This window comes from Homo sapiens, chromosome 21 (genome assembly GCF_000001405.40).
Source record: "Homo sapiens chromosome 21, GRCh38.p14 Primary Assembly".
Taxonomy (NCBI): domain Eukaryota; kingdom Metazoa; phylum Chordata; class Mammalia; order Primates; family Hominidae; genus Homo; species Homo sapiens.
In genome coordinates this window covers 17797903-17816486 of record NC_000021.9, presented here as the reverse complement: position 1 = coordinate 17816486, position 18584 = coordinate 17797903, and the positions used below count along the sequence as shown (strand labels likewise).

General features: G+C 38.0%; 1 protein-coding gene and 1 long non-coding RNA gene across 4 annotated transcripts in view; one reads left to right on the top strand and one right to left on the bottom strand.

Annotated features, from left to right (window-relative positions):
• LOC124900465 (uncharacterized) overlaps positions 1 to 18584 on the bottom strand; it is a 145830-nt gene that overhangs the window by 74638 nt on the left and 52608 nt on the right. The window lies entirely within an intron of this gene.
• C21orf91 (chromosome 21 open reading frame 91) overlaps positions 1 to 18584 on the top strand; it is a 30383-nt gene that overhangs the window by 2870 nt on the left and 8929 nt on the right. The window lies entirely within an intron of this gene.

The window sequence follows — 18584 nt, the reverse complement described above, 5'->3', positions numbered from 1 at the left end:
ATGTTCTAATCCTAATTGGTTATCCTTGCTATTCTCTCAGCCAGCTTTTTCTAACCAGTGTTTGCTGGCAAATCATCATTAATGGAGTTCATGCCATGATCGAATTTTTCCACAGAACCCTAAATTTTCGTAATTGCTTTTCTAGCTTTTTAAAATAAGCCTTTTAACTGGTTCTCAGTCATTATATAGAGAATATACAAATATTACCTTAGGTACCATCTCTTAACATTTCAGCTCTGATAATATCTCAGCATGTAAGCATGGAATAAGTCCTTTGTTTTTGAAATCATAGTTCCCTTCAGTGTAAAAGACAATTCTCAATTTGAATTAGAACTATTTCGTTTAATATTCTATGTATATTCAAGGTTTTATATATTAAAATCCCAATTTAATCTTTGTAAGAAAAATTAGAGTCAAATAATTTCTTCTCTATCTGGTGTCATTTCTCAGCTCTCACAAATACGCATTTTCATTTTCACTACAGTGATCAGCTAGTGTATTACAACTTTTTTGTTTAAGATTTTTGTAGGCCGGCACAGTAGCTCATGCCTGTAATCCCAACATTTTGGGAGGCCAAGGCAGGCGGATCACCTGAGGTTGGGAGTTCGGTACCAGCCTGACCAACATGGAGAAACCCCGTCTCTACTAAAAATACAAAATTAACCAGGCATGGTGGCACATGCCTGTAATCTCAGCTACTCAGGAGGCTGAGGCAAGAGAATCGCTTGAACCCAGGAGGTGGAGGTTGCAGTGAGCTGAGATTGTGCCATCGCACTCCATCCTGGGCATCAAGAGCAAAACTCTGTCTCAAAAAAAAAAAAATTATTTTAGAAAAGAGGAGGGAAATGAGGATCTTGAATTGCACAAAATTTTAGTTTTTATATCAGTATACGGGTCTTTAGAAATCAGTGGGGGAAAAAAGTCATAATAATAATTACATACTAGAAAAATAACAAGGTATATTTGTTGTCGGTAAATCTTTTAAAATATTTTTGAAGTTTTCTTTCCTCTACCAAGTTCCCAACACAATGCCTGTCAATAGACTAGAATGTAAGAGGGGCTTTTTAAAAATGACATTTAACTTTACTAGTTTAGTGTAAATTTTTTGTAGTTTGGTAGTATTGCAGTTGCCTGATTTCTTAGCTTTATAATTGCTAGCTTTGGTCTAAAGCACTCTTCTCCGAGAAGAGGCTGAGTAAAAATAAATTCTCTTGAGGAATAATAACAGTTAAGCTAGTTTTGAGTCCATACATTTGTAGTAAACAATAATAATATTTTCTACTTTTTGGATTGTTGCTTACATCAAATCAACACTGGTTTCCTAATCAATTAGCCTCTTGTTTAAAAGCTGTGTGCATGCATACGTTTATAAAATGAAGACAAAGGAAGGAAGAAATAACAAAAGACAATCTAATCTTGTTGAACAGATTTTGTACTGTGGGCATGGCTCTAAGTTGGCTTTTTCTCTGACTTTACAATAATGAAAAAGAAAGAGGAGCCTACATTTTATGTACTTCCAAGCCACAGGTGATATGCTTTAAGGACCTGAGAAACACACTTTGAGGACTCAGATATTTTTTAATGTTCACAAGGTTGATTTTTTTTTAACCTATGCTTCACCATTTGATATGGTTTGGATCTGTGTCCCCACCTAAATCTCATGTTGAAATGTAATCCCCAGTGTTCTAGGCAGAGACTGGTATTAGGTGATCGGATCATGGAGGCGGAATTCACATGAATGGGTTAGCACCATCCCCTCAGTGCTGTTCTCATGATAGTCAGTGAGTGAGTTATCATGAGATCTGGTTGTTTAAAAGTGTGTAGCACCTCCCCCCCTCACTCTCTTCCTCCTACTCTAGTCAGTTGAGGTGCTGGCTCCCTCTTTGCCTTCTGCCCTGATTGTGAGTTCCCTGAGGCCTCCGCAGAGGCTGATGCTACCATGCTTCTTGTACAGCCTGCGGAATTGTGAGCCAGTTAAACCCCTTTTCTTTATAAATTACCCTGTCTCAGGTATTTCTTTATAGCAGTGCAAGAATGGACTAATTCACCATTAAAATAAATTGTCTGCTTCTCAGATTAGAAGACAGGTGCATAAACTTCCTAAATACTTACAGCCTTGACCCTAAGACACTATGAACTTTTTCATACATATTAGTGATCAAATACTCTAATATGCATCATAGTTCAAACTGCTAAAATCTCTAAAGATATTTAATGACCAACTCACTACCATTCCCTAAGGAATGGCAAAGAGGAAGGCAGCCCAGGGTGGTCAGGAGCTAGTAATGAAACTCAACTGTAAGGTAACAAAGCCCAAAGTGAGACCTAAGCAGGAAGAGATCCAGGGTTTCAATACTGTTGGTTCATACTATCAGTTTTCATCTTGTGCCAAAATAGTGTACAAATAATTCTTAGAGCATTTCTCTCTTCCTATAATTGGCTTGCTTTCTTTTCCATAGAGGAAAAAAAACCTTTTTTTTTTAAGCTAGCTTAGCTTTGTTTAGCTTTTTTTCCTTTCTTCATTTTATTAAAATAAGGGTTTCACTATGTTGCTTAGGCTGACCTTGAGCAATTCTCCCACCTCAGTCTCCCAGGAAGCTGAGATTACAGGTGTGTATCACCTTACACCTAGCTAAAACTTTTTTATAAGATTGGACCAATTCCTGTTACACAGGTTGAGCATTCAAAATCAAAAATCTAAAACTTTTTGAACACCTACATGATGCTCAAAGGAGATGCTCATTGGAGCATTTCAGATTTCAGATTTTTGTTATTTGGAATGCTCAACCAGTAAGTATAATACAAATATTCCAAAATCTGAAATTTGAAACAGTTCTGGTCTCAAGTATTTCAGATAAGAGACATTCAGTCTGTACCAAACAAAGTTTTCAGTGTAAGTTGACCTTGCTAGTTGATGAGTAAGTATGTATCTGGCTGCTCTCTGTGTAGAGCCTCTTGGATTACTTTCAGTTAGTTCTTTCTAGAACCATTCTAGAAGGAGACCCAAAGTCAGCTCCTTAGCAATCTTTCCAACAAGAAAAATCTGTAATCTTGGTTAAGTCGTAGATGAATTAGTGTCTATGTTTAATCTTACTGTTCCTTGATTCTCCGTGTCTTTACCATATACTGTTTGTGGTCAGTAGTCAGGGACCAATTTGAATCTCAATATGAAATTCTTGATTTGGTTTGGAAGTTAGAACTGGTTGTTTATTACTCGAAGGGAACATAAACTGTTCCTCTATGTCCTGCTTCTGACACTAACTTTTTTCCACTTAAGTAAGGGGCCCCACCACTTGTGATCAGGAAGCTGTAAAGAGCTAATTCAATCTGGCATTAGCCTCTTTCTCATTTCCCATCCTGTAATGGCAAACATCATGTATTAACTAAAAGTTGCACTTTGAAGTATAAAGCCTAATGGGAATTCTGAACTTTAGCTTGGTGATCTTTAATATACTTATCTTAGTCTATTTTGAGCTGCTATAACAGAATAGCTGAGACTGGGTAATTTATAAAGAACACAGATTTATTTCTTAGTTCTGGCGGTTGAGGGCCCTGCATTTGGGCAAGGGTCTTCATGCTGCATCATCCCATGGCAGAAGGCAGGAAGTCAAGAGAGAGCTAAACTCACTTTTATAACAAAAGTGGATTTTTTTTGTTTGTTTTTTTTTGTTTTTTTCCAAGATGGAGTCTCGCTCTGTCACCCAGGCTGGAGTACAGTGGTGCAGTCTCGGCTCACTGCAAGCTCCGCCTCCCAGGTTCACACCATTCTCCTGCTTCAGCCTCCTGAGTAGCTGGGACTACAGGCGCCCACCACCATGCCTGGCTAATTTTTTGTAGTTTTAGTAGAGACGGGGTTTCACCGTGTTAGCCAGGATGGTCTCGATCTCCTGAGCTCGTGATGCACCCACCTCGGCCTCCCGAAGTGCTGGGATTACAGGCGTGAGCCACCGCGCCCGGCCAACAGTGGTTTCTTACAAAAGTTATCTGAAGATAACTAACCCACTCCTACAATAATGACATTGCTTCATTCATTTGGTCAGAGCCCTCATTACCTAATCACCTATTAGACCCCACCTCCCAACACTGTTGCTTTAAGGATTGTTTCCAAAACATGAACTTTGAGGGACACATTCACACCATAGCAACTTGAAAATAAAAGCTCAAGGTTATTTTTTTTTCTTAACTTCCTTTTAATATCATTTAGTTTGAACACTTTAAAAATGGCTCTGGTAGTAATACTTTATTTGAACAGGAGTAGGGATGGGTGAGAGTGAAAGTAGGCTTAATTGGTGATAAGTTTAAATAATAGAATATTTTTAAAGAAAAATCATTGAAACTAGGCTAACAATATCTGGTAAAGACTTGTGATTTAACTAACAACCCATATATGAGGAGCTGGTTTCCAGACTTTTATACCTGTCCTATTGATGGTAGCCTCATTTTTTTTTCCTCCTGCCTAACTTTATTAGGGTGTCTAGGGTGCGTTTAAAATTTAGATCACACATAAATTTTGGTTGTGAGGATATTTCCTCTGCAACAGAGGAGTATATATATGTTCATAATGATGATCTTGAGTGCTTTTTAAGTCATTGATAAAAATGTGTTCTTTTAAATCAGTGATTTAAAGTTGAAAACAAGCAGAGTATATAACCCAGAATATCCTGTTAATAAGAATATCATAATTATAAATTAAAATGATTTATTAGAATACATAGAAATGACTTTCTGTTTCAGAGTCATAGTTCATTTATCCCAATAGTCTAACAGAGATGAAAAGAAATGTTTTATCAGCTATATGAAAACAGCTTAAATCTAGATTGAAAGTCTCTACTACTTGGATCAAAAATATTCTCAAAGATACAGTTTTTATGTTGAAATAACTTACAGTAACTGTTACTGGAAAACTGATAAAGAGACATCACCTCTCCAGAAACGATTATTTGCCTTTATGAAGTATAATAGACGCTAAAAGTGTAATTTTTCTTATTACATGCAAATAATAATGGCCTGTGAAGAAAGAAGACAAAGATAGATTTATCTCTACTTTAGAGGAAGTGAAGTGTCACCCTCTAGTTGGAAGAAACTAGTCCACCTTATGCTCAGTAAATATTTAGGGAATTTATACTTTTAGGTAAGTCTCTTATCTAAATAATAGTTGGATATTATTTACCAGGTATTGTACACTTTACATACAGTTTTTAATTTTATTCTTAATACAACTATATGAAGTAGGTTCTGTGTTATCCCAGTTTGATGAATAAGGAAAGTGAGTAGAGAGTCTGGGTAACTATTCCAAAAATCACAAAGGTTAGAGACCAAGGGTCTCTGATTCCAAAATGTCCAGGTGCCTAAATTTATGCTTCCAAAGAAAATGACATGGACTCTTAGGAATTTAGGAGCTATTAAGTAACTTTTAGGCAAGATTGGAAATGAATTACACAAATGTGAATATTCAAGCAAGGACTAAAGTTTAGGTCCTAAGACATGCTTAATTTTTAAATAATTTCTACTCACGATATTTAATGAATACACATTCTGTGGAATAGCCAAAAATACTCATTTCTGATGACCTAAGAGAGTGGGGTGATGCAATTTCCATATAGATTGTAATCTAAACAAACAATAATATGCCAACATAATATAGTTTTGAGAAATTTTTATTGGATTGGTGTTAATCAGAGAGATGGGAGGAGCTAGGAAGAAAAAGGACACACACAAGACAGTCTTGTTGCTGGTCCTTACCCAGAAGAACCATGCAGATGTCAGCTGGTAATGAAACAGTGATTCTAACACTGCTCTCTGTTCTTCCACCATCCAAGTAAGGCAGACTAGCATATTTATCCTAATTAGCCTTTCTTTCAAGAGAGAGAACAGGATTATGAGTGAGTGGAAGCAGACAGTGTGAGCACAGGTGAAGATGTCGGCACCAATCCTGAAATTGCATAGCAGCTCCCTTTTGCTTATCAGCCTCAATAGCTGATGCTGGGACAACCTGAGAGAAAAGAAAGTGTTCATTAATGTTGAACTTCCTAGTTTCTGAATTTTAGAAGATAAGGAGCATTAAACTAACTATGTCAATAGAACATTTTAGAAATATTTAGAACATATTTAGAAATACTGTTCCTCTGTTTACAGTTCAAAATTAAAACTTAAGAAAAATTTTTCCATGTTTATTACCGAATATAAATTAAAAACTATAATTATATTTGTATAGCACTTAGAGGTTGGAAGGTGATTTTGCTGTTACATTTAATCACTATATTATGGGAAATGAGCATTAAATGTGAATTTTAAATAAGGCAAGACATGAAAAATGTATGAGTGATTGAAATCAAAGTAGCTAAGTAAAGTTGCAGAGTTATCAAAATGTTAACCACAGTTCTGGTTGGAGTGAATTTACATTATTCTAATTCAATTTGTCATACCATCTGTTAGGAATTTGATAAGGAGAATAAACCCATTAAACTCTGAGCTTTGGATTTATCGTTTTAACAAGGGGACAGTGTCTGCTGTTTATAAATAATTTTCAATTAATGTATCTTATTTCTGGTAGCTCTTTGCTGTTACTGTCTGAGTTGTACAACAGTAAGGCAAAATAATGATTTGTGTGTACCCATAAATCTGAATCTCAAAATGAAAGCGCTGTGGTTGATTTCACCATAATTTTAAACATATTCCTTCAATAAATACTAACTGAGCAACTACTAAGTGTCAGAAATTCTCTAGTAGCTAGAGATAATGGAGTTAGCAAAAATAAACAAATCCCCAAAATCATGAGGCTTACATGAGAGGAGGAAAAAGACAATAGAATAAATAAATTATATAGCATATTGGAATGTAATAAAGGATTATTTGCCACTATGAAGTATAATAGACACTAAAAGCACCTTCCAGTTTCTGAAGTGCTATACAAATATACTTAATGACATTTTTAATATCTGTCCTAAACGTATACTGGTGGAATAATATCTACCATGAACTTAATGAATGATAATTGCTACTCTGTTTTGAAAATTAGAGCCCATACATTGAGGAAATCTGGTTGTGTTATTTGGGAGGAGTGTTTCAAGATTAACATGGAATACTCCTTCATTCATACTTCTATACTGCTATCTTCAAATATTAAAGAGGATCTTCAGTATCTTTAAGTATTTTAGACAGTAGAAAATACTTTAAAGTTTTTATATTACTGTTTACTTTGAGAACATTTCTTTTACTTAATATCCTTCATAATTTTGACCATGTTAATTTGGCTGAACAAATTATTTTCCATTTATCCTGATAAATCAACATTTTCATTATTGTGTTAGTTCTCACACTGCTATAAAGAACTACCTGAGACTGGGTAATTTATGAAGAAAGAGGTTTAATCTTCTCACAGCTCTGCAGGCTGTACAGGAAGCGTGGCTGGGGAGGCCGCAGAAAACTTAACAATTATACCAGAAGGTGAAGGAATGTCTTAATGGCCAAAGAAGGAGGAAGAGAGAGAGAAGAAGAAGGTGCTACATACTTTTAAACAACCATATCTTGTGAGAAGTCACTATCATGAGAACTGCAAGGGAGATGTCTGCCCCCGTGATCTAATCACCTCCCACCAAGCCCCTCCTCCAATATTAGGGATTACAATTTAACCTGAGATTTGGGTGGAGACACAAATCCAAACCATATCATTCTGTCCCTGGCCCCTCCCAAATCTCATGTCCTCCTCACATTGCAAAATACAATCACCCTTATGAACAGTCCCTCATAGACTTAATTCATTTTAGCATTAACTCAAAAGTCCACAGTCCAAAGTCTCATCTGAGAGACAGCAAGTCCTTTCTGTCTATAAGCCTCTAAAAAACAAGTTAGTTACTTCCAAGATACAGTGAGGTTACATCACAAACTGGGGTTATGTGCCTGCAGCTTTTCCAGGTGCACAGTGAAAGCTGTCAGTGAATCTAGCCTAGCATTCTGGAGTCTGGAGGACGGTGACCCTCTTCCCACAGCTCCACTAGGCAGTGCCACAATGGGGACTCTTTGTGGGGGCTCCAACCCCACATTTCCCATCTGCACTGCCTTAGTAGATGGTCTCCATGAGGGCTCCACCCCTGCAGCAGACTTCTGCCTGGACATCCAGGCATTTCCATACATCCTCTGAAATCTAGGTAGAGGCTCCCAAGCCTCAACTCTTGCCCTCTGCACACCTGCAGGGTTAACACCACGTGGAAGCCCCCAAGGCTTACAGCTTGCACTCTCTGGAGCAGAGGCCTGAGACATATCCTGGGCCCTTTTAGCCATGGCTGGAGCTGAAGTGGCTGGGACATGAGCAGTGTCTCAAGGTTGCGCAGGGCAGCAGGGCCCTGGGCCCAGGCCATGAAACCATTCTTTCCTCCTAGGCCTCTGGGCCTGTGATGGGAAGGGCTGCAACAAAGGTCTCTGAAATGCCTTCAAGGCATTTTCCCCATTGTTTTGGCTATTTAGCTCCTCTTTACTGCAGCTGGCTTGAATTCCTCCCCAGAAAATGAGCTTTTCTTTTCTACCACACGGTCAGGCTGCAAATTTTCTGAAGTCTTATACCCTTTTAAATATAAGTTCCAGTTTCAGATCATCTCTTTGTTCACATATATGACCATACTCTGTTGGAAGCAGCCAGGCCACATCTTGAACACTTTACTGCTTAGAAATTTCTTCCACCAGATAGCCTAAATCATCACTCTCAAGTTCAAAGGTCCACAGATCCCTTGACCGGGGTATAATGCCACCAGTCTCTTTGGTAAAGCATAGCAAGAGTGACCTTTACCCCAGTTCCCAATAAATTTATCATCTCCATCTGAGACTACCTACTACTGGACTTCATTGTCCATATCACTGTCAGCATTTTAGGCACAACAATTTAACAAGTGTCTAGGAAGTTCCGAAGTTTCCCTTATCATCCTATCTTCTTCTGAGCCCTCCAAACTGTTCCAACCTCTGCGCATTATCCTGTTACAAAGTCGCTTCCACATTTTCAGGTATCTTTATAGCAATGCCCCATTCCCAGTACTGATTTTCTGTATTGGTTCTTGCATTGCTATAAAGAACTACCTGAGATTGGGTCACAGTTCCACAGGCTGTATAGGAAGCATAGCTGGGGAGGCCTCAGAAAACTTACAATCATGACAGAAGGTGAAGGGGGAGCAGGCACATCTTACATGGTGAGAGAAGGGGGAGGTGTTACACACTTTTAAACAACCAGATTTTGTGAGATTCACTATCATGAGAACAGCAAGGGGGGAAGTTTGCTCCCATGATCCAGTTACCTCCTACCAGCGCCCTCCTCCAACATTGCGTATTACAATTTGACATGATACTTGGGTGGGAACACAAATCGAAACCATATCAATTTTATTTCTACTACACAGTAGAATAAATACAGTATAGATAAAATATAATTCCTACATATTAGAAAGTTCTCCAGAAAAGTCAGTTTTAGATTACCAGGTTATTTATTAACAAAGTGTATTGGATAAATATCAGTCATAGATATTCTGGGAGATCTCAATTCTCAGTTGAGAGTGAATATAGACCAGCTTAATTTCTTTCACACTTCTTACAGCCTCTGTCTTTTCTACCTCCCACTCTTCTTTTTTTTTTGGATGGAGTGCCCAGGCTTTGTTGCCTGGGCTGGAGTGCAGTGTCGCTTTGTTGCCCAGGCTGGAGTGCAGTGACAGGATCTTGACTCACTGCAACCTCTGCCTCCCAGGTTCAAGTGATTCTTCTGCCTCAGCCTCCCGAGTAGCTGGGATTACAGGTACCTGCCACCATGCCCAGCTAATTTTTGTATTTTTAGTAGAGATGAGATTTCACCATGTTGGCCAGGCTGAACTCAAACTCCTGACCTCAGGGTGATCCACCTGCCTTGGCCTCCCAAAGTGTTGGGATTACAGGCATGAGCCACTGTGCCCAGCCTCCCCCTCTTAATTCATCTATTTACCCTCTCCTCCATTTTTTTTTTACTAACTCATCAGCTTGGCAACCTACAGTTATTTTCTATGTAACCTGGCAGATTGGCCAAAAGAATGATTAGCATATCAGAAATGTTCATGTCTCCCATTTTAAAAGAAAAAGTCAAGGAAAAAAACTTTTCCCTTTTTTCCTTAAGCCATAGTTCTTTAAAGAGCAGTTCATTTAGGGTCTCTTATTTCTCCTCCCAACTATTCTTCGTGCCCTCTAATTTGCCACCCTCTTTTGCTCTCACCAGCGATCACCTAGCTATCTAGGCAGTAAGCAGGTTCGTGTTATGGTAATTTTCAAAGTCTGATGTCTTGTTTGTAAGAACATAGATCACTTTCTCAGAACTTAAGTGGAGCAGGCGGCAGTTGAGGAGATGAAAGGCAGAGAGACAGAGTTATCACATTTCTTGCTTTCAAACCTTAAATTTGCTTTGTCATAATAGTGTGCCCTCATTCATCTGGTTATTATTATGAAGGCATTTTTAAGGCTATCTTTTGTTTAAGTAACATCTTTTTACCCTTGTCTATCATAGGAAACTTTGTTGTGTTTTTGTTTTGCTGTAAGTTGGTGTCTCCATATGCCCCATGTAAGTGGATATTTAAAACTAGTAATTCAATTACAGTTAATTTGAATAGCTTTTTAGATGTCTTATGACAATTTTATGCAGAAAAATTTTTTTAGAATAAATGTCAGTACATTCACTTAAATCCTTTAGGGGAATATGGAACAAGTAGAGGGTTACTTGGGTCCATTGGATTATTGGCTTAAAATTTTTTGTAACATAATGTTAATTAAACCTTATAGTCCAAATTTGATTTACTTTACCAGAAAAACAAATTTACCTTTCTATATCGTACTGTTGTGAGTGTAATATCCCATATTAATATATCAGTACGCTAGCTGGGTGTGGTGGCTCACGCCTGTAATCCCAGCACTTTGGGAGGCCGAGGTGAGTGGGTCACCTGATATCAGGAGTTTGAGACCAGCCTGGCCAACATGGTGAAACCCTGTCTTTACTAAAAATACAAAAACTACCCAGGTGTGGTGGTAGGCGCCTGTAATCCTGGCTACCCGGGAGGCTGAGGCAGGAGAATCGCTTGAACCTGGGAGGCAGAGGTTGCAGTGAGCCAAGATTGCACCATTGTACTCCAGCCTGGGTGACAAAAGCAAAACTCCATCTAAAATCAATCAATCAGTCAGTCATTACGGTTTTAAAAGAAATGGTGATAGCTTCTATCCATGTTCTCTTTCCAAGTACCCTTTTGCTTAGTTACCTATGGACAAGCTGCCTTGTCCAATTCAGTAGCCTAGCCACATTGAATTCATTTAAATTAAAATTAAAACTTTAGTTCTTCAGTCAGACTAGCTACATTTCAGATGCTAAATAGCCATTTGTGGCTACTGGCTACCTTATTGCATAGCTCAGTTATACATACAACTTGTCCATCATCACAGAAAGTTCTGTTGGGCGTTGCTGTTAAAAAACAGGTAGCTACATTAAGGAGTAGAATTGAGTTTGGATTAGTTTTGTGCCTTTTTAGTAATAAACAGTTGTTATGTAGGTGTGTTTCCCCAACTTTCCAACTGTTAGAATGAAAAAGTAGAATTCACTGAGAGAGGTTTTATTTTTGACAAGTCATTTGCAATGTATACATCTATCAGTAAAAGATCTCAGTTCTGCTCTGGCCTCCTAGGTTGAGGGTGAGGTTTATCATTGTCTCTCTGAACTCTTAGCTCATTGAAATTTTCCTTTACAATTCATTTATTAGATTAAGCTGCTTTGATTAACTGTTTTAATCCTTAGCACACACAGGAACTTTAAAATGGCATGCACATCTCTAAGCTGAAATCTGCCATCTAAAGGCCACCTGTTGATAAATCTTTCTTTAGGGCAGTAATTCTCAAAATGTGCGGAAGCAAGTTTCTGAACCCATCTGTATGTTGGCTTCATGTGGTTGCCAATATTCTATCTGCTACCAAGGCAGAGATAAGCAGTTACCTTTTACTTTTAAACGGTATGTTGGGTACTTGAATATGGCAGACTATTTAGTCATTTAAGTGGCTCCTGATTTAGCTAAAGGCATGAGGGTGAGGAAATGAGGTACTCTTTATCACAGTACTTTCTAAGACACCTAGGACAACTGATAAAAATTTTAAGAGGCAGAAGCCTGTCCTTTTGTGGGAAGTAGATACTCCAACTATTCATCCTTGCCTTCCCACTTTTAGTCTAATCTTCTGCCTTGGTCACATGACAGGATAGACAAACTGAGCATCCTCCCACTCAGTGGCAGTGCTTGGCAATAGATAATAATGGTAATAACTTCCTGAATTATGGCTTGGCTACTGCTTGCTCATCAAATGCATGGTAGTCTAGTCGAATTGAGCACAAAATCATCACTGGGGCAAGTAGTATTTACACTGCAGCAATCCAGCCTAGTCTCAGTACAGTACAGGTGACCGGACATGGATTTGGAGCCTGCAGGGTCACAGGTACAAGTGCTTTCATTAAGGAAATAATAAGAACTATTTGGAATTGAAGAGCACATACCCAGTTCAGCAGCCAGTTCCTGTCAGATCCTCTCATTTTGTTTTTAATTTTTCTCTTTAAAATATTTGTGGGCTAAACAAAACTTACCTGTAGTGTGGATCCAGCTTTCAGTCCGTGGGAGTGCCACTTCTACCCACAGGGCTTTTCCTTTATTCCTTTTATCAGGAATGGTTGTCTGCGCCTCAGAAACAAGTAACATTTTCATCCATTGTCTTTCCTAATAACATGGAATTTGGCTACCCTCCCATTTTTACAGTGAACACTTGCTTGAAGCACAAGATTACTGTTTCTTAATATGGACAACACATACATATTCAAGTACCTGTACCCCGTTTCTTAGCATCCAAGATAAGATCATCACAAAAAGAAAAACACCTTTACTCTTGGAAAATTACTTAGGCTGTGCCAAATGTGAGCCTCCATAAAAAACTTTTTTTTCTTTTTTTTAAGACACAGGGTCTCACTCTGTTGCCCAGGCTAGATAGAGTGTAGAGGCGCAGTCGTGGCTCATCGCAGCCTGTGCCTCTCTGGCCCAAGCGATCCTCCCACCTAAGTAGCTGGGACTACAGGTGCATGCACCATGCTGGGCTAATTTTTGTATTTTTTCTAGAGACCAGGTTTCACAATGTTGCCCAGACGACTCTCAAATTCCTGGGGTCAGGCAGTCCACCTGGCTTGGCCTCCCAAAGTGCTGGGATTATAGGCATGAGCCACCACACCTGGCCAAAAAATATTTTGAAGCAATACTGCATGTATTGTTGCACAAATACATTTATCATGTTTTAAGGCAGTGTGCTTAAAATTTTTTCACAGCATGTTAACAACTGGACACTTAATTTTTTTGCCTTATTTAAACATCAAGAAAGAACACATAAGCCCACCATTTAGCAAACCCATACTCCCAGTTCCCTAATTCTGCTCTAAGTTTGAGGTAAAGGTTGGAGTGCTTGCTTTCTTAGTGCTTTCCAATCTCCTACTGATGTGATAATGCATATTACAACTTCACATCCACTGATGGTTGTATTATATTTGCTCTCCCTGTGGAGCACCAAGTTATGTAAAGCCAGTCCTTTGGTTGGGAAATGGAATATGTAATCCAATTCAACATATAGTCTAATTGACCACAAAAAGTGTGAGGGAGTCAGATGACATGATTCAAGAATGTGTGAAGTATAAAGGCATTCAGCATCAGCATAGACAGCTGAGAGACAGTGCTATTTGACAGGACCAGCTGGTGAATCATCAGGAAAAGATTGCCTAGCTTACTTATTACTACCAAGTTATAAATCAAGTCTTCCTCAAGAGGCTAGGGGTAAAAGCAGAGGATCATGGGACATGTGGTAGAACTTTAAGCATTTTGATATTCGTGGGGTTTTTTAGTGCCATTTGGAGTATTATTTTTGTTACGAAAAAAAATTGTTCCTACAATTGGTGAATTAAACACAATCTAATCATTCTTTTAAAAGGGTAACAGTGGGCCAGGCACAGTGGCTCACGCCACTGTGATCCCAGGATTACACGCCACATGTAATCCCAGCACTTTGCTAGGCTGAGGCAGGTGGGTCACCTGAGGTGGGGAGTTTGAGACCAGCCTGGCTGACATGGTGAAACTCCATCTCTACTAAAAACACAAAAATTAACCACGTGTGGTGGTGCGTGCCTATAGTCCCAGCTACTTGGGGGGCTGGGGTATGATGATAGCTTGAACCCAGGAGGCAGAGGTTGCAGTGAGCTGAGATTGTACCACTGCACTTCAGCCCGGGCAACAAGGCGAGACTCCGTCTCAAAAAAATAAGAGTAATGATGGCAACTAGAGCTAAACATCTAAACATTTGAGTAGTCTTTGCACTTTTAGGATGGATTTAACCAAGTTTTCTTAAAGCAATTTATTTTAAAGAGGAACTTAAAGGATAGAGATGGGGATAGCATGCCAGATGGGTTAGAGGGAGGGTTTCAAAGTACAGAATAATAGTATAAAAACTCAGATAAAATGGGAAAAGATAAAAGAAAAATAAAATTATTGAATAGGAACAGCTTTTTAAAATACTACTATTCATACAGAAATACAGCCTATATACATTTCTAAATAGCCTCTAGTGAGAAGAAACCCTTTTTTTTTTTTAATACTTTAAGTTCTGGGATATACATGCAGAACATGCAGGTTTGTTACATAGGTATACACATGCCGTGGTGGTTTGCTGCACCTATCAACCCGTCACCTACATTAGGTATTTCTCCTAATGTTATCCCTCCCCTAGCCCCCCACCCCCAACAGGCCCCAGTTTGTGATGTTTCTAGCCCCCTACTTCCTGACAGGCCCCAGTGTGTTATGTTCCTTTCCATGTGTCCATGTGTTCTCATTGTTCAACTCCCACTTATGAATAAGAACATACGGGCCGGGCACGGTGGCTCAAGCCTGTAATCCCAGCACTTTAGGAGGCCGAGGCGGGCGGATCACAAGGTCAGGAGATCGAGACCATCCTGGCTAACACGGTGAAACCCCGTCTCTACTAAAAATACAAAAACTTAGCCAGGCGTGGTGGCGGGCACCTGTAGTCCCAGCTACTCGGGAGGCTGAGGCAGGAGAATGACATGAACCTGGGAGGCGGAGCTTGCAGTAAGCCGAGATCGCACCACTGCACTCCAGCCTGGGTGACAGAGCGAGACTCCGTCTAAAAAAAAAAAAAAACATACGGTGTTTGGTTTTCTGTTCCTGTGTTAGACATGAACTCATCCTTTTTTATGGCTGCATAATATTCCATGGTGTATATGTGCCACATTTTCTTTATCCAATCTATCTTTCATGGGCATTTGTGTTGGTTCCATGTCTTTGCTATTGTGACTAGTGCTGCAGTAAACATACATATGCATGTGTCTTTATAGTAGAATGATTTTTAATCCTTTGGGTATATACCCAGTAATGAGATTGCTGGGTCAAATGGTATTTCTGGTTCTAGATCCTTGAGGAGTCACAACACTGTCTTCCACAATGGTTAAACTAATTTACAATCCCACCAACAGTGTAAAAGCATTCCTATTTCTCCACATCCTCTCCAGCATCTGTTAAGAAACCCATACTTTAAAAAAAAATAAGATTAAGACTTTTGGTTGCCAATTAAGGTCTTGGTTCTCTAATAATGACTTTATGATTTAAAAAAAAGTGACATGGATATCTTTGAAGTATCTTAAAGATGTTTTTATAATAGGAAGTCAATTACGTTGGCCTTCAAAACTTGTATTAGCAAGCAAGTTGTAGTACAATCTTGGTTGGACTGGTTTGGAAATTATTATAACTCAGCTCCTCAAAAGTATCACCTGATTGTGTTGCATTTAGATTTATTCCCTTTCAAAAGCTGCTTAGGAAACAAATTAGTGCTCAGAGCTGTTTACGCTTGTAAATGCATTTAAAATTGATAAGTCAGTTGGGAAACTCACTGGGATCTCTTGAAATAGCAATGGTTGTTTCTGCTATAATAATTTGAACTGATGAGGTAGAAACAACAAATCACTTCAAGAATTTATAAAATGATATGTGTATTACTGATGCAAATTAAGTGAGCTACTCACATTATTTTCTAGATTAAAAAGTAATTTTTTTCAAGTATATGAAGTAGTCAGTGTTTTATAGAAGTTTTTGTTTCCTATGCTACTGCTGCACAGGATATTTTTAAATATGTTTATAAAACAAATGTTTCTAATTGAACTTTAAAACTCAGTCAGGTTTTTAAATTTTAGTACGACTGATGTAACTAAAGAAATTAGAGGTATATATCTAGATGAATGAGCTACAGTTAACATAAAACCATCTTCTTGTATATTTTCTGTATGTAAATTTCTATTTAAAAATATATATTTGAGTAGAAATTCATTATTTTCTTTGACAGATTGAATGATGCCACAGGAATGCCATTTCTGTATCAGTGCCACTGATATGTTCTTTAGACTAATAGCCCATTAGACTAAATATAGGAGTAACTTCACTGAAAGACACCTTTAATTACCCGCTGAGTAGCCTGGCAGAACTGCAAATTCTAGTTCCCTTGCTAGGAGGGACCTTGCAAGGGACCTTGAGTGATAATTGATTTGTTTTTGGTGTTTTAAAATATATTTTTAATTTTCTTTTATGCATTTAACTACTTTTGAGTACCCACTATGTGCCCGGCATTTTGACACTGAGAATATATGAGTAAGATAGACATGGTCCATATTTTTCACAGAACCTACATTTTGTCAGGAGATACAGGCCGCGAAAGAGGCAATTGTAAAATCTAGTGTGATAAACTAACCCAGACATTTGGGTTAGACAAGGCTTCTTAGGGGAAATGAGAACTAGACAGGAGGTGATGATGATCATGACCCACATTTGTAGTGGGAGTGGTGCTTGAGTGAAGCAGAAGGATTTCAGATGTTGTAGGTGCTAGATTTTATGGGGGAGAAATCTGTTAAGACGGTCAGCAAAACCTCTGGGATTGCGGGGAGTGAAGAGCTTTCAAGGAGGACACCCAGGTTTCTTCCTTGAGCAGTTAGTTGGTGATGCCAGATTCAGTAAGGGGATCAGTTTTGGAGTTGTGTGGTGAGAGAGATAAAGGAGTTAAGTGTTCAGTAAGGTGAGTTCGAGGAGCCAATAGGTACATCTAAGTGGAAATTATATTATATGAATCATTAAGAAGAAACAGTAGATAAACATTACAAGTCCTCATTATTCTTCAAATAGATATCTATTATATTGACCTATTGTTGAAGCTCTAGAGTACATCAGAAAATTAGTTATTTAATGTACTTTTTTATCGGAGTTTCTGTATAAATACTAAAAAACCCACAAAATATAACAATAAATATTAATTACTTTCCATAGCCTAGTTCACAACCTTTTTTATATGCTAAAGAATTTCATTGCTACATAGAGCTGAGGCAGTGCACTGAGAATGAGACCATTTACGGTTTTGAGGGATTAGCTAACCATCTGTTGGCAACAAGACCTAAAAGAGTTTGCAGAGGGTAGGGGAGCTCTTTAATAAATGTTTCAGTTAGTAATAGGCAAGCTTCAGGTTCTCTCTGCATACCAGTGTTTCCCAGAAAACTAAGCATTGGAATCAGATAGCAGAATGGAACCATTTTTCCTTTGGTGTATAACTTGTGATAACTACTGTTTTGTCTTATTATCTAAAATGCGTAATAATAAAACTTAATAAAGCAGAGCTCGTGAGCTTCCTTTTTATGTCAGTTTCCCATTTTTAAAGATGTATACTCTATTATCAAATAAAGCTTTGAGATTTATAATTCACATATTCTAATGTTGCTGGAAATTTGACCTAATCAGATAATAACTGGTAGAAATGTATACGTGCTCACAATTGCAGTACAAGGAGCAAAGTGATAAATAAGATGTATATTAAATTCTGTTTAAGTTTCCAGCAATTTTTGTACTCATTGGAAAAAACAAGGCTCAGATATTTGAGTTTACCTCATGAGAGCAGTTGTTTACATGTGCTTACAATATTAATGTTTTAGAGGTGTGTTCACATAGCTTACAGTAACTGTTGAGGGAACTGATAACCAATTTAACACTTGGTTTTGACAGTCTCATCAAGTCCCACCATTGGCTGATACTATATATATTTTTAAAAACATTAATATTCACAAGTATGCTAATACTTTATTTCATACCATTAAAGTACAAATGCTTCATTATCTTTCTTTTAGCCAGACTTTGGAGTTCAAATAAAATAACTATGAGTTCAATTTTTAAAGGAAAGGAGGAATTACAAAATGTATTTTTTTCTGATGAATCAGCTAAAACTTTTTTTTAAACTAGCTCCTGAGTGGCTCTCCGCTTACTCCATTTGAAAAGCTAAGCAGATTTAAACTGGTTAATTCTGGCAGACATAAATTTTCAGGTCCACATTCCTAATTCACCTTCAGCATAAAAGTAGCGCTGTTTAACTTTAATAACATGGCTTGAACTTATAAAAATGTGTGAATATATTCTGTATTTTGAAATGTATTAGATATTTGAAAATGTTTTATATTTTTATAATTTTTATATTTTTAAAAAACAATT